This window comes from Homo sapiens, chromosome 7 (genome assembly GCF_000001405.40).
Source record: "Homo sapiens chromosome 7, GRCh38.p14 Primary Assembly".
NCBI lineage: Eukaryota > Metazoa > Chordata > Mammalia > Primates > Hominidae > Homo > Homo sapiens.
The window spans coordinates 140,383,431-140,396,743 of record NC_000007.14 but is presented as its reverse complement, the minus strand read 5'-3'; the positions used below and the strand labels follow the sequence as shown (position 1 = coordinate 140,396,743).

The 13,313-nt window shown below is 44.4% G+C and overlaps 1 protein-coding gene and 1 pseudogene across 17 annotated transcripts in view, besides 3 other annotated features; both read left to right on the top strand.

The window, feature by feature from the left end:
• Positions 1-13,313, top strand: part of SLC37A3 (solute carrier family 37 member 3) — a 64,779-nt gene that overhangs the window by 1,787 nt on the left and 49,679 nt on the right. The gene's annotated exons all lie outside the window — the stretch shown is intronic.
• Positions 5,736-6,235: an enhancer, noted in NCBI's record as "H3K27ac hESC enhancer chr7:140090309-140090808 (GRCh37/hg19 assembly coordinates)". NCBI's record gives its function as "activates a minimal SCP1, AML or CMV promoter by ChIP-STARR-seq in primed H9 embryonic stem cells {active_cell/tissue: H9 hESC(primed)}" and the evidence as "EXISTENCE:reporter gene assay evidence [ECO:0000049][PMID:30033119]".
• Positions 5,908-6,027: an enhancer, noted in NCBI's record as "active region_26780". NCBI's record gives its function as "activates an Ori minimal core promoter by ATAC-STARR-seq in GM12878 lymphoblastoid cells {active_cell/tissue: GM12878}" and the evidence as "EXISTENCE:reporter gene assay evidence [ECO:0000049][PMID:35858748]".
• Positions 6,236-6,737: an enhancer, noted in NCBI's record as "H3K27ac hESC enhancer chr7:140089807-140090308 (GRCh37/hg19 assembly coordinates)". NCBI's record gives its function as "activates a minimal SCP1, AML or CMV promoter by ChIP-STARR-seq in naive H9 embryonic stem cells {active_cell/tissue: H9 hESC(naive)}" and the evidence as "EXISTENCE:reporter gene assay evidence [ECO:0000049][PMID:30033119]".
• RNA5SP248 (RNA, 5S ribosomal pseudogene 248) lies at positions 9,837-9,963 on the top strand (annotated as a pseudogene).

Here is a 13,313-nt window from a genome sequence, read left to right as displayed (position 1 = left end):
TTTTATAAAAGTTAAGTCAACAGTATCTTGCTGCTTTCTAGCTGTCAGGATCAACTGCCTTGTTCATTGTTTAAGGTTCTGATTTGTGCTCTGTTCATCAGTGTTAATGTCATGTCACTGCAGTGACCATTAACTTGATTATAAATCCTTTGGTAGAAGAGGGAAAGATTTTTATCTTGAAAACTAGTTGTCTTTGGAACATGTCCAAAAACAGGGAGGAAGAATGTGGTTTTGGAAACCCTGGAATAAAATGAGAGATATTTACAGATAAATGCCAAGTATTTTATGCCTGTGGTAATGAGATAATTTAAGAAGAGATAAAAATTACAGGAAGACGGATGAATTAATGAATAAAAAGGATTTATGAGGTTCAAGTAAATGGCTTCGTATGAGATAATGTGGGATAAAAAAGATACTTGTGGCTGGGTGCAGTGGCTCATGCCCATAATCCTAGGGCTTTGGGAGGCTGAGGCAGGAGGATCTATCTCTTAAGGCCAGGAATTTAAGACCAGACTGGTTAACATAGCAAGACCCTGTTTCTACAAAAACTAAGAAAATTAGCCAGGTGTGATGGTGCCCACCTGTAGTCCCAGCAACTTTGGAGGCTGAGGCAGGAGGATCGCTTAAACCTAGGAAGGAGATTGAGGCTGCAGTGAACTATGATCACGCCACTGCACTCCAGCCTGGGTAACAGAGTGAGACCCTGTCTCTGAAAAAAAAAAAAAGATAGTTGTATGAGTGTGAGCATTGAGACGCTAAACTGCAACATATACAATACTGTAAAAATGGTGAACTCAACTATACATTTAATAATTTCCCACATTCTTCTTTACACTTTGAAAACACATAATCTTTTTACTGTGCAGACATAAAAACTGAAGTCTGGGAGGTGAGTAATTGCCCATCTAATGCCCCTCTCCTTTGAGTGTGTAAGAGAACCACTCTTACCAGTAAGATGTTTTTTTTCCCCATCCTTGGTATATACCTCTGAGTTTAGGTGTGCTAGTTCTTTTATTTATTTATTTATTTATTTTTTGAGACAGAGTCTTGCTCTGTTGCCCAGGTTGGAGAGCAGTAGGGGGATCTCGGTTCACTGCAACCTCCGCCTCCTGGGTTCAAGCAATTCTCCTGTTTCAGCCTCCCAAGTAGCTGGGATTACAGGCACCCACCACCACACCTGGCCAATTTTTGTGTTTTTAGTAGAGACAGGGTTTCGCCATATTCGCCAGGGTGGTCTAGAACTCCTGACCTCAAATGATCCACCTGCCTTGGCCTCCCAAAGTGCTGGGATTACAGGTGTGAGCCACCGCACCCAGCCTATTTTTATTTTTTTATAGCTCTTTTTTTTTTTTTTTTTTTTTTTTAATTTGAGATGGAGTCTCGCTTTGTCACCAAGGCTGGAGTGCAGTGGCACCATCTCAGCTCACTGCAGCCTCCGCCTCCCGGGTTCAAGCAGTTCTCTGCCTCAGCCTCCCAAGCAGCTGGGATTATAGGTGCCCACCACCACACCTGGCTAATTTTTATATTTTTAGTAGAGACGGGGTTTCACCATTTTGGCCAGGCTGGTCTTGAACTCCTAACCTCGTGATCCACCTGCCTTGGCCTCCCAAAGTGTTCAGGTTACAGGCATGAGCCACTGTGCCCGGCTTTATAGCTCTTTTTTAATGCATGAAGGGTGTGATAGTTCTAACTATTGTATTTTATCCAGCTTGGAGTATTTTCTATTTTAACCTTTACCCTTAAATGATATAACATAGGATCTAGAATTAGATCTGAGTTGGAATGTGCACTCCATCGTTTGAGAGAGATTGCTTTCTTTTTTAAAAAATTTTATGAGGGCTGGGCACAGTAGCTCACACCTGTAATCCCAGCACTTTGGGAGGCTGAGGCAGGCGGATCACGAGGTCAGGGGTTCGAGACCAGCCTTGCCAATATGGTGAAACCCTGTCTCTACTAAAAATACAAAAATTAGCTGGACGTGGTGGTGCATGCCTGTAGTCCCAGCTACTCAAGAGGCTGAGGCAGAAGAATCGCATGAACCTGGGAGGCGGAGGTTGCAGTAAGCCAAGATCACGCCACTGCCCTCCAGCCTGGGCGACAGAGCGAGACCCTGTTTTTTTTTCAGATGGAGTCTCGCTCTGTCGCCCAGGCTGGAGTGCAGTGGTGCAGTCATGGCTCACTGCTGCCTCAGCCTCCCAGGCTCAAGTGATCCTCCCACCTCAGCCTCCCAAGTAGATAGGGCCACAGGTGTCCGCCACCACAACTGGCTGATTTTTGTATTTTTTGTAGAGATGAATGAGGTCTCCCTATGTTGCCAAGGTTGGTCTTAAACTCTTGAGCTTAAGTGATCCTCCCACCTTGGCCTCCCAAAGTGCTGGGATTATAGGCGTGAGCCACTGGACCAGACCTAGAGATTACTTTCTAATATCTGTTTTCTCATCTGTAAAACATTGAGAGAACTAAATGCAGTAATGCATGGTAGGTACCTAGCATGGTGCCTAGTACTTTGTAAGCATTCAGTGTTCTGCTGTCAGTCAACCAATTCATTGATTCAAAAAAAAACTTTTTTTTTTGATATGGGGTCTCACTCTGTTGCCCAGGCTGGAGTGCAATGGTGCAACCTTGGCTCACTTCAGTCTCCACCTACCGGGTTCAAGCGATCCTCCCGCCTCCACCTCTCGAGTAGCTGGGACTACAGGTGTGCACCAGCATGCCCCGCTGATTTTTGTATTTTTTGTAGAGACAGGGTTTCACCATATTGCTCAGGCTGGTCCCGAACTCGTGGGCTCAAGCCGTCTGTCTGCCTTGGCCTCCCAAACTGTTGAGATTACAAGTGTGAGCCATCGCGCCCGGCCCAAAAAATCTTTATTGATCGTTCTCAGTGCTCTGCTGGGTCCTGTGGATGTGGCTGTGAGACTCAGGACACAGAGAGCCACTGCTTTTATGGAGCTTACAGATGAACAGTAGACATGGAAACAATTAAACCAGATAACTGGGAGAGATGCTCTGAAGGAAAGAAATGGCGAAAGAGATGAGAGAGGTAGTAACCAGGGGAGACCATTTTAGATAGGGTTATCAGGGAGCTCACTCTAGGGGGTGACATTTCATTGACTAGCCAAGAAAAGGAAGGAGCAAGCCATTTGCCAAGAAGCAGGACAAAAACACTCCTCTCGTGGAAGAACAAACACAAAGCCCGAAGCAAGAGGAGGCTTGATGGGTTCAGGGACAGGAGAGGGATTTGGTGTGGGGAGTTGGTGTTGGTGAGGGTGGGAGGTAGGTGGGCACAGTAGAAAGGAGACAAGCTAGATCCTCACCAGGCGGCCTGGCAAAGGATTGGGAACCACCCAGCTGCCCAGTGGGGGCCTGGTTAAATATCTAAAGATTCCTTCATGTCAGTGAGGACGGCGCACGTGTTCAGCTCTGCAGGTGCTGATATGGATGGACCTCCAACCTCTGGCAAGTGAAGAAAATGCACAACAGATAGTGTGTGCTGTGTGCTTGCATGTGTGATCTTGGGGGCTCTGCCTGGTATGTGTGCAGAGGCACAGATTGTGCCCCTGAAGGAAAGAGAGAAGATGTGAAAGAAACTGGTTAGGAGATCAGGGTGGACTGAGGACACAGGAGGAAGTTGTATCCTTTGAGTTTTTTTTTTGGGACGGAGTCTTGCTCTGTCACCCAGGCTGGAGTACAGTGGCGCGATCTCAGCTCACTGCAACCTCCACCTCCTGGGTTCAAGCGATTCTCCTGCTTCAGCCTCCTGAGTAGCTGGGATTACAGGCGCATGCCACTGCTTCTGGATAATTTTTGTATTTTTAGTAGAGACATAGTTTCATCATGTTGGCCCGGCTGGTCTCAAACTCCTGACCTCAGGTGATCCGCCCACCTCAGCCTCCCAAAATGCTGAGATTACAGGTGTGAGCCACTGCACCCAGCCATATCTTTTGATTTATACCTTAGGCATATAATACCAGTTGAAAAGTAATGAAATAAAACAAAACCCAACCTCTGCAGTTTAGATATTGGCTCAGGCAGGCTCCTCCTCCATCTGTACCAACCCATCTGTCAGCCCTGTCCCTCCCCAGCCCTAAGCGTCCTATTTACCTGCAGAGGTTAGACAGGCTTTAAAGGCTGTGGCAAAGAATCTGTCTTTTTGTCTCAGTCTTGGGAAGGCAGTAAAGGGTTTTAAGCAGAAGCTGTCAAGGTAGGCAGGTAGGAGATGCTGCTGGTGGTTTATCTTAGGGCGGTGGCAGTGAGGATGGAGAGAAGAGGGTGGCGGTGAAGAGGACCAGAACCGAGAGGCTGGGGAGTGAGCTTATCCATCTGGAGGCTGGGATTTGGGATATATTTTGGAGGTGAAAAGGACTGGATTTAGTAATGGGTTGGATGTAGAAGTTAAGGGAAAAGAAGTAAAGGCTACCTCATAGTTACCTTGGTTGACTATAAGGAATGGCAGTACCTTTGCTGAGATAGGGAATACCAAGGGTTGTTGCAGGTGGTTAGCGACTATCTGGGCTGGTGGAGGTTACACGGACACCTTTCAGTCCCACTGGAGTATAGCTCCAGCCAGGACCTTCAGTTATCTTCCTGCTTAGATGCTGTCCACTGAGAGTTCCAAGTTGGGAAAGAGAAAGGGAGGGGAGAGGGTTTTCCGTAAGGAGAGTTCCCCATACAGGCCACCAAAATGTTGCAGGTGATCAGTGACTATCTGGGCTGGTGGTGTAGGCAGTGAGAAGAATTTACCAAGACAGTTATAGGTATAGAAAGGCAGATTTATTAGAGAAGGTCTGAGAGTATGTTTGCAAGGAAGCAACAGGCAGGTCAGCAAGAGAGGAGCTGACTGCAAGGAGATAAAAGCTTGCTGGAGATTTTATAGGATGGTGCTGTGTGCTGAAGAGGGCTTTGTGCAGTACAGATAACAATAAGGTTGCATTGAGCTAACTTGCATTTTTCTATCAGCTGAGTGTCTGGTGATTACTGGGTGCAGGAAGATTGTGAGTTACTTGCTCAGGAGGGGTATATGTCCTGGACCACGAAGAAAGGCAGACTTATAGTTTATCTGCTTATTCTTTTTAGTTTCCCCTGATCCCACCAGCCTGACTCCTTTTTCTCTAATTAGAACTCCACAGGGGAGGGATAGATTTGGAGGGAGAAATGAAGAGTTGTGTTTTATCTTATTGTTTAATTTTTTGAAATGGAGTCTCACTCTGTCGCCCAGACCGGAGTGCAGTGGCCTGATCTCGGCTCACTGCAACCTCTGCCTCCCGGTTTTAAGTGATTCTCCTGCCTCAGCCTCCCAAGTAGCTGGGATTACAAGGCACACGCCGCCACAACCGGCTAATTTTTGTATTTTTAGTAGAGACAGAGTTTCACTATGTTGGCCAGGCTAGCCTCGAGCTCCTGATCTCAAGTGATCTTCCTGCCTTGGCCTCCCAAAGTGCTGGGATTACAGGCATGAGCCACTGTGCCTGGCCTAAGAGTTCTGTTTTAGATTTTGGAGGGATATTAATTGGTCATTTGGATCCTGGAGGGTCTAAGTTAGAGCCATGAATCTGGGAATTGTTGACATAAAGGTATGATACCAGAGGAAGGAGGAGAGAAAGATGTTGGAAGTTTAAAAAGAGAAGTGTGAAATCGCTGTCACAGGTTGAGAAAGCAAAATTACTGGGAAGTGTGGTAGGCTTGCTGGGCAGTGTTGCATGCCCTTTGAGGTTTGTGGTTTTGAATCTAAAAAGTGAAATCAGCCTGCTTGAGTGATTTTTCTGTGGCAAAACTCAGCTGCTTTGGTGCAGGGAAGGAGGAGGACAGAGACAAGGAAGGGCACTGTAGATTCTAAGTTGGTAAGGCAGGAAATGAGGACAGGAGGGGGATGGATGAGGGAAAAACAAGGCTACTGAATTGGGAGCCTTGTTGAGGTCAGATGACTGTTGAGGTGTGGTATATTCAGGTAAGTGATCTGCAAGGAAAGGAAGTAGAAGATTTGAAATCCAGCTACCAGGCTTCAGCCTTGTGTGGGTTTTTATTGGGGGATGGAGGAGAAGGGTGGTGGTGAAGAGAACCGGAACTGAAAAGGCCCAGGAGGGAGCTTATCCACCTGGCGGTGGGGATGGAGGTTGGGTGACCATGGGACGGGAGTGCGAGGGAGATCAGTCCCTGACATCTATGGGGAACAGCAGGCTATAGAGCCCCAAGGTGTGAGTTTCAAAGAAGCTGGGGTCTTGGCAAGAAGAGAGCGGCCCAGAAACGGCCTTGGGGAACAAAGAGAACATGGAACGCTTGTGTCCTTGAGGCATGTAGGTTGGGGGAGGGAAGATTGCACCTCTTGAAAGGCCTTAGGGGAAGTGAAGGTATAGGGAGCACCCGGAGTCTTGTGAGGATATAGTGCCTGCTAACCATGTAACTAGGTTTCTAGAGAGGAAAGATACGAGGCTTGCTAACCGTGTATCTCTGTTTCCAGAGAGCATGGTCAAAAGGGCTGGGGGTGGGGTGTGTGGGAAGACTGGGCAGATGAGATGAATGGGGCAGAGTGGGTATGTGGTAGCTTCATGTATGTCATCTCTTTTACTGCTGACCACTCCCCTGCCCACTCTGCAGTAGACTTTCTTCAGAGAGTTCCTAATACGAGACAGTTGGGTTTTTTTGTTTTGTTTTGTTTTTTGAGGCAGGATTTTCCTCTGTCACCTAGGCAGGACTGTGGTGGCATCATCATAGCTCACTGTAGCCTTGAAGGCCTGGCCTCAAGTGATCCTCCTGCCTCAGCCTCCCCAGTAGCTAGGACTACAGTGCATGCCACCCCATCTGGCGAAATTTTAAATTTGTTGTAGAGACGGGGTCTGTTGCCCAGGCTGATATTGAACTACTGGCCTCAAATGATCCTCTTGCCTTGGCCTCTGAAGAACAGCTTTGAATTTGGGTTGGAAAGGACTCTAAATACCACTATAGAAAGTGAAATTAGAAATAATAATTGGGGGAAATTTTATATCCCAAAGCAGCGTTGTAGAAGGCAGCGTTGCCTTCCACCTGGACGTGTTGCTGCAGTGCGAAGTCATCTTTTACTTAGCAGTGATTGCGCACTATTGTAACCGCCCAGTGGGTTCACCTTGCCTGCTGCCTAGACAGAGCCAATTTATCAAGACAGGGGAACTGCAATGGCAAAACAGTGGTTCTCACAGAGCCGGCTTTGCAGGAGATGGGAGTTTTATTATTACTCAAATCAGTCTCCCCGAGCAGTCGGGGATCAGAGTTTTTAAAAATAATTTGGCGGGTAGGGGCTTGGGAAGTAGGGAGTGCTGATTGGTCAGGTTGGAGAAGGAGTCACTGGGGGCTGAAGTGAGTCTTTCTCTCTGTCTTCTGTTCCCTGGTGGGATGGCAGAGCTGGTTGAGCCAGATTACCGGTCTGGGTGGTGTCGGCTGATCTATCGAGTGCAGGGTCTACAAAATATCTCCAGCACTGATCTTAGGTTTTACAATAGTGATGTTATCCCCAGGAGCAATTTGGGGAGGTTCAGACCCCAGAGGTTGCATGACCCCTAAATTGTAATTTCTAATCTTGTAGCTAATTCGTTAGTCCTGCAGAGGCAGACTGGACCCCAGGCAAGAAGGGGGTCTGTTATCAGTTTTGTTTCAGTGTCAAACCATGAACTGAATTCCTTCCTAAAGTTAGTTCAGCCTATGCCCAGGAATGAACAAGGACCTTCCTTAAGGGTTAAAAGCAAGCTAGAGCCAGTTAGTTCTGATTTCTTTCACTGTCATAATTTCCTCAGTTATAGTTTTGCAAAGGCGGTTTCACTATTGTGTTCCATTCTGGAAATTACCATTTTTAATGGGTAGTCTTCTAGGACTAAGAAAAACTTCACTATAAAAATCACAAGTTAGTGATTGTGAACTTGCTTTGGAAAGTAGAAGATGGCTTAATGGTTCTGGATTTTTTTTTTTTAAAGATGGAGTCTTGCTCTTGTTGCCCAGGCTGGAGTGCAGTGGCATGATCTTGGCACTGCAACCTCTGCCTCTCAGGTTCAAGCGATTCTCCTGCCTCAGCCTCCTGAGTAGCTGGGATTACAAGCGCCCGCTACCACGCCCAACTAATTTTTGTATTTTTGGTAGAGACGGGGTTTCGCCATGTTGGCCAGGCTGGTCTCGAACCCCTGACTTCGTGATCCTCCTGTCTCAGCCTCCCAAAGTGCTGGGATTCCAGACGTGAGCCACCATGCCTGGCCAATGGTTTTCTGGATTTTATTTGATGGCAAGAATCTTGCCAGTATTTTTTTTTTTTTCTGGAGAGAATGGAAGCAAAGGAATCCTTTCTCTTTTTTTTGGTACAGGGTCTCACTCTGTCGTGCAGGCTGGAATGCAGTGGCACAATCTCGGCTCACTGAAACCGCTACCTCCCAGGCTCAAGTGATTCTCCCATCTCAGCCTCCTGAGTAGCTGGGACTACAGGCACGCACCACCACACCTGGCTACTTTTTGTATTTTTTCTGGAAACGGGGTTTTGCCATGTTTCCCAGGCTGGTCTCAAACTCCTGGGCTCAAGTAGTCCTCCCACCTCGACCTCCCAAATTACTGGAATTTCAGGCATGAGCCACCATGTCTGTCCAGAATCTTATTTTTAACAAGGATTTTTTTTTTGTCTTTTAAAATAATTCTAATGGGGGTTTGGGGAGATGTTGGCCAAAGGATACAAAATTTCAGTTAGGAGGAATAAGTTGAAGAGATCTATTGTACAATATGGTGACTATAGGTTTTGCTTTTTTGAGACAGGCCCTCACTCTGTCACCCAGGCTGGAGTGCAGTGGCACAATCACGGCTCACTGAGCCTCTAACTCCCAGGTGATCCTCCCATCTCAGTCTCTGGAGTGGCTGGGACTATAGGCTTGTGCCATCACACCCGACTAATATATATATGTTTATATATAATATATATAATATATTTATATTTATGTATAATATATATAATATATTTATATTTATGTATAATATATATAATATATTTATATTTATATAATATATAGTATATTTATATAATATATATAGTATATTTATATTTATATAATATATATAATATATTTATATATAATATATTTATATTTATATAATATATATATTTATATTTATATAATATATATATTTATTTAGATGGAGTCTCAGTCTTTTGCCCAGGCTGGAGTGCAGTGGCGTGATTTCAGCTCACCGCAGCCTCCACCTTCTAGGTTCAAGTGATTTTCGTGCCTCAACCTCCCGAGTAGCTGGGATTACAGGCGTGCATCACCACGCCCGGCTAATTTTTTGTATTTTTAGTAGAGATGGGGTTTCGCCACATTGGCCAGGCTGGTCTCGAACTCCTGACCTCAAGTGATCCACCTGCCTTGGCCTCCCAAAGGGCTGGGATTACAGGTGTGAGTCACTGCACCCGACCTGGCTAATATTTTTGTATTTTTTTGTAGAGATGGGGTTTTGCTGTGTTGCCCAGGCTGGTCTGAGACTCCTGAACTCCAGCAATCCACCCGCCTCGGCCTCCCAAATTGCTGATATTACAGGCCTGTGAGCCACTGTGAGCCACTGTGCCCTACCGGTGACTATAGTTAATGACAATGTACTCGATTTTGAAAATTGCTAAAAGAGTAGATTTTAAGTTTTCTCACCATAAAAAATAAGTAGTGAGGTAATGGATTTATTAACTAGCTTGATTGAGTCATTCCACAATGTGCACATATTTTAAAATGTGTTGTACATGATAAATATATATAATTGTATTTGTCAATTAAAAATACTATAATGTTAAAATTCTTGTTGCTGACAAATATCGGTTGATAATTGTGTATTCAGTATTCATTAATAGAGTCTACAACCATACCTGCATACCACCCTGAACATGGCCTGCCTTGTCTGACTTTGGAAGCTAGGTATGGTGGGGTCTGGTTAGTGCTTGGGTGGGACACTGCCTGGGAATACCGGGTGCTGTAGGCTTTAAAAAATAAAAATTCACCGATTGAGAAAATACTAAATGACAAGCTACAGTGAATTCAGAAACACTGAAATGAAATTTGGTTTTGAAATTTGGTTTTATTAATTATAACAGCATTTACACATACTTGAAAAATGTTACACATTTGTTCAGTGTGTATTTAGAGTGGTAAAGAGAGTATTCTTCAAAAAGTAGGATGTGCTTGATGGACTCAGACTTGACAAAAACTCCTGTACACCCCAGGGTCCCTGAGCTCATGGATGATTGGAAATCACTTCTGTGATAGATAGGATACATGTGCAAGGTATTATTATTATTATTATTATTATTATTGTAATTGCATAGGACCAAATGTCGTAGTATTCGTCTTAAATGTCATTATGCACACAGCAGGTGAATGTTTAAAACTATTTTCCTGGGCGAGGTGGCTCACGCTTGTAGTCTCAGCACTTTGGAAGGCTGAGGCGGAAGGATTCCCCGAGGCCAGGAATTCAAGACCAGCCTGGACAACATGGCAAAACCCTGACTTAACATAAATACAAAAAATAAGCTGGATGTGGTGGCATGTGCGCCTGTATTCCCAAAGAATTGCTTGAGCCTGAGAGGTCAAGGCTGCAGTGAGCTGAGGTTGTGCCACTGCACTCCAGTCTGGGTGACAAAGTGAAACCTTGTCTCAATAAATAAATAAATAAATAAATAAGGCCAGGCATGGTGGCTCACACCTGTGATGCCAGCACTTTGGGAGGCCAAGGTGGGTGGATCATCTGAGGTTAGGAGTTCGAGACCAGCCTGGCCAACATGGTGAAACCCCGTCTCTACTAAAAATACAAAAATTAGCCAGGCATGATGGCGGGCGCCTGCAATGCCAGCTACTCGAGAGGCTGAGGCAGGAGAATCTCTTGAACCTGGGAGTTGGAGGTTGCAGTGGGCCGAGATCGTGCCACTGCATTCCAGCCTGGGCAACAGAGCCAGACTCTGTCTCAGAAATAAATAAATAAAAGAAAGAAGAAAATAAAGCCTACTTTTCCAATGTGCTTATTAAGCCTTTTCTCCCCAATCATTATAGCTTAGGAAAAGATGGTCTATTTAGAAACTACATCCAAATGGCCTCAAATGTCTTGGTAGTTTTTTAAAGCTATTAATATAACTGTACAGCCCTAGGTTATGCAGCTCTATTGCCAATGTACTGTAATTTCAATCTGTTGGAGCATTTATTTTTGGAATTATGATTTTACATGATACATCATTGAATTTCATATCCCATGCCCTTTCCTGGAGTACATACTACAGTGTTTTGAGGTGGGAAGGTGTCCAGTTCAAAGAGCTACGATTCATAGAGAATGATTAAAGTTTTGAGTTTTTCCACTTGGGTTTCATGTTTAATTTTCAGGATGGAAGTAAATTTAGTCATAACACTAGTAGTTCTTGTTTTTGTAACTTCCTGGAATTACAGACAGGAAGTTTATTTACATTTTGTGAGTGGAATTTTATAGTCCTACTCTGCATGTAATTTTATTAACATTTCCCAAGAAGAATGACTTTAAAATGAAATTAGCTAAATTCTACTGATTTGGAATTAATCCTTGGCAGATCAGTGGCTAATATAATTATCTGAATATGTCACATACATTGTTACTTTTAGCCTTACAACTCTCAAATGAAATAAGCCATTTTATGGATGACCACTTATGATTTATAGAGCATGGCTTGTCCCAGGGGCTAACAGCTAGTAAGGAAAACAACTGTCATGTGTACATAATTGTAACCACCTCAACTTTGTTTCTTTTATCTACAAGTTGCAAGAATGGCCTTTCTGCTGGGTCTCTTAGTCTTTAAGGTTTGGGTGCATCTGTTGAGCTGTGGCTAGTGAAAATAAGTAGTGTAACAGTTCCAGTGAACATAGATCTGAGAGCCAAGCCCTGTGATTCTTTCTTGAGTATTGGAGCTCTTGAATGTGTTCCCTACCTTGACTACTGTTGTAGATTTATCATACAAGCCATTTTGTGGATTTTTTCCCTTGAATATGAGGATAAATTACATTACTTTTTTTGGTGCGGCGGGGGGCAGGCAAGGTCTTACCCTGTGGTACAGGCTGGAGTGCAATGGTGCGATCATAGCTCCCTGCCTCCTTGAACCCCTGGGCTCAAGCAATCCTCCTGCCTTAGCCTCCTGAGTAGCTGGGACCATAGACATGAGCCACCACGCTTGGCTGTTGTTTTTTTTTTTTAGTTTTTGTAGAGATGGGGTCTCACTATGTTGCCCAGGCTGTTCTCAAACTCTTGGACTTAAGTGTTCCTCCCACCTTGGCCTACCAAAGTGTGGGGATTACAGGCATGAGCCAACATGCCCAGCCTAAAATATAGTACTTTTCTAATGCTGTGGGTGTTTCCCTTCCATTATAAAAATTATATAGATGTTTATTATAGGCTTTTTAAGAAAGTATATAGAAGAAAATTAAAATTATCCATCATTTCACTACCCGGAGAGAACTACTATATTCCCTATTTATTTGTAAGTATTATGTGAACACAGTTAATTAGATTTATAACCGGCTCCCACTTTTTTTCACTTGACATTTTCTCATGTCATTAAAAAGTCTTCGTGACAAATGATTATAAATGATTCAGCCATTCAGACATACCATAATTTATTTAATTATTCCCCTATTGTTGTATATTTGGATTGGTTCTGCAGACTCATAACTGGAGACATTAAGTTTAGCTGCTTACTTTATGCGTAATTGTTCTTGGATATCAGAGCATGGGTGCAGCTTTTAGAGAGTACAGTCAAATGAAAAGGCATTGGGGCCAGGCACAGTGCCTTATGCCTGTAATCCCAGCACTTTTGGAGGTCAAGGTGGGCAGATCACTTTGAGCTCAGGAGTTCGAGACCAGCCTGGGCAACATGATGAAACCATGTTTCCACAAAAAATATAAACATTAGCCAGGCATGGCGGCTCATGCTTATAGTCCCAGCTACTTGGGAGGCTGAAGCTGGAGAATCGCTTGAGCCTGGGAAGCGGAGGTTGCAGTGAGTCGAGATCGTGCCACTGTATGCCAGCCTGGGTGACAGAGTGAGACCCTGTCTCAAAAATTAAAAAAAAAGCCACTGGAAGTAGTGGAAGGAGATGGCAAGGGGTGGCCTGACCTCTTTCTCTGTTTCTTTGACACAAATTTTTTCATTTTGGGGAGATACTGGGGGGCAGACAGGGGTTAGGCAGCTTGCCCAGAGTCTTGCAGTGGGACCTCACCTCAAGGCAATAGAAGATCATTTAGAACATTGTATTTAATCATTTTGTTTTGTTTTGCTTAGAGTCAGGGGTCTCACTTTGTTGCCCAGGGTTGACTGCAGT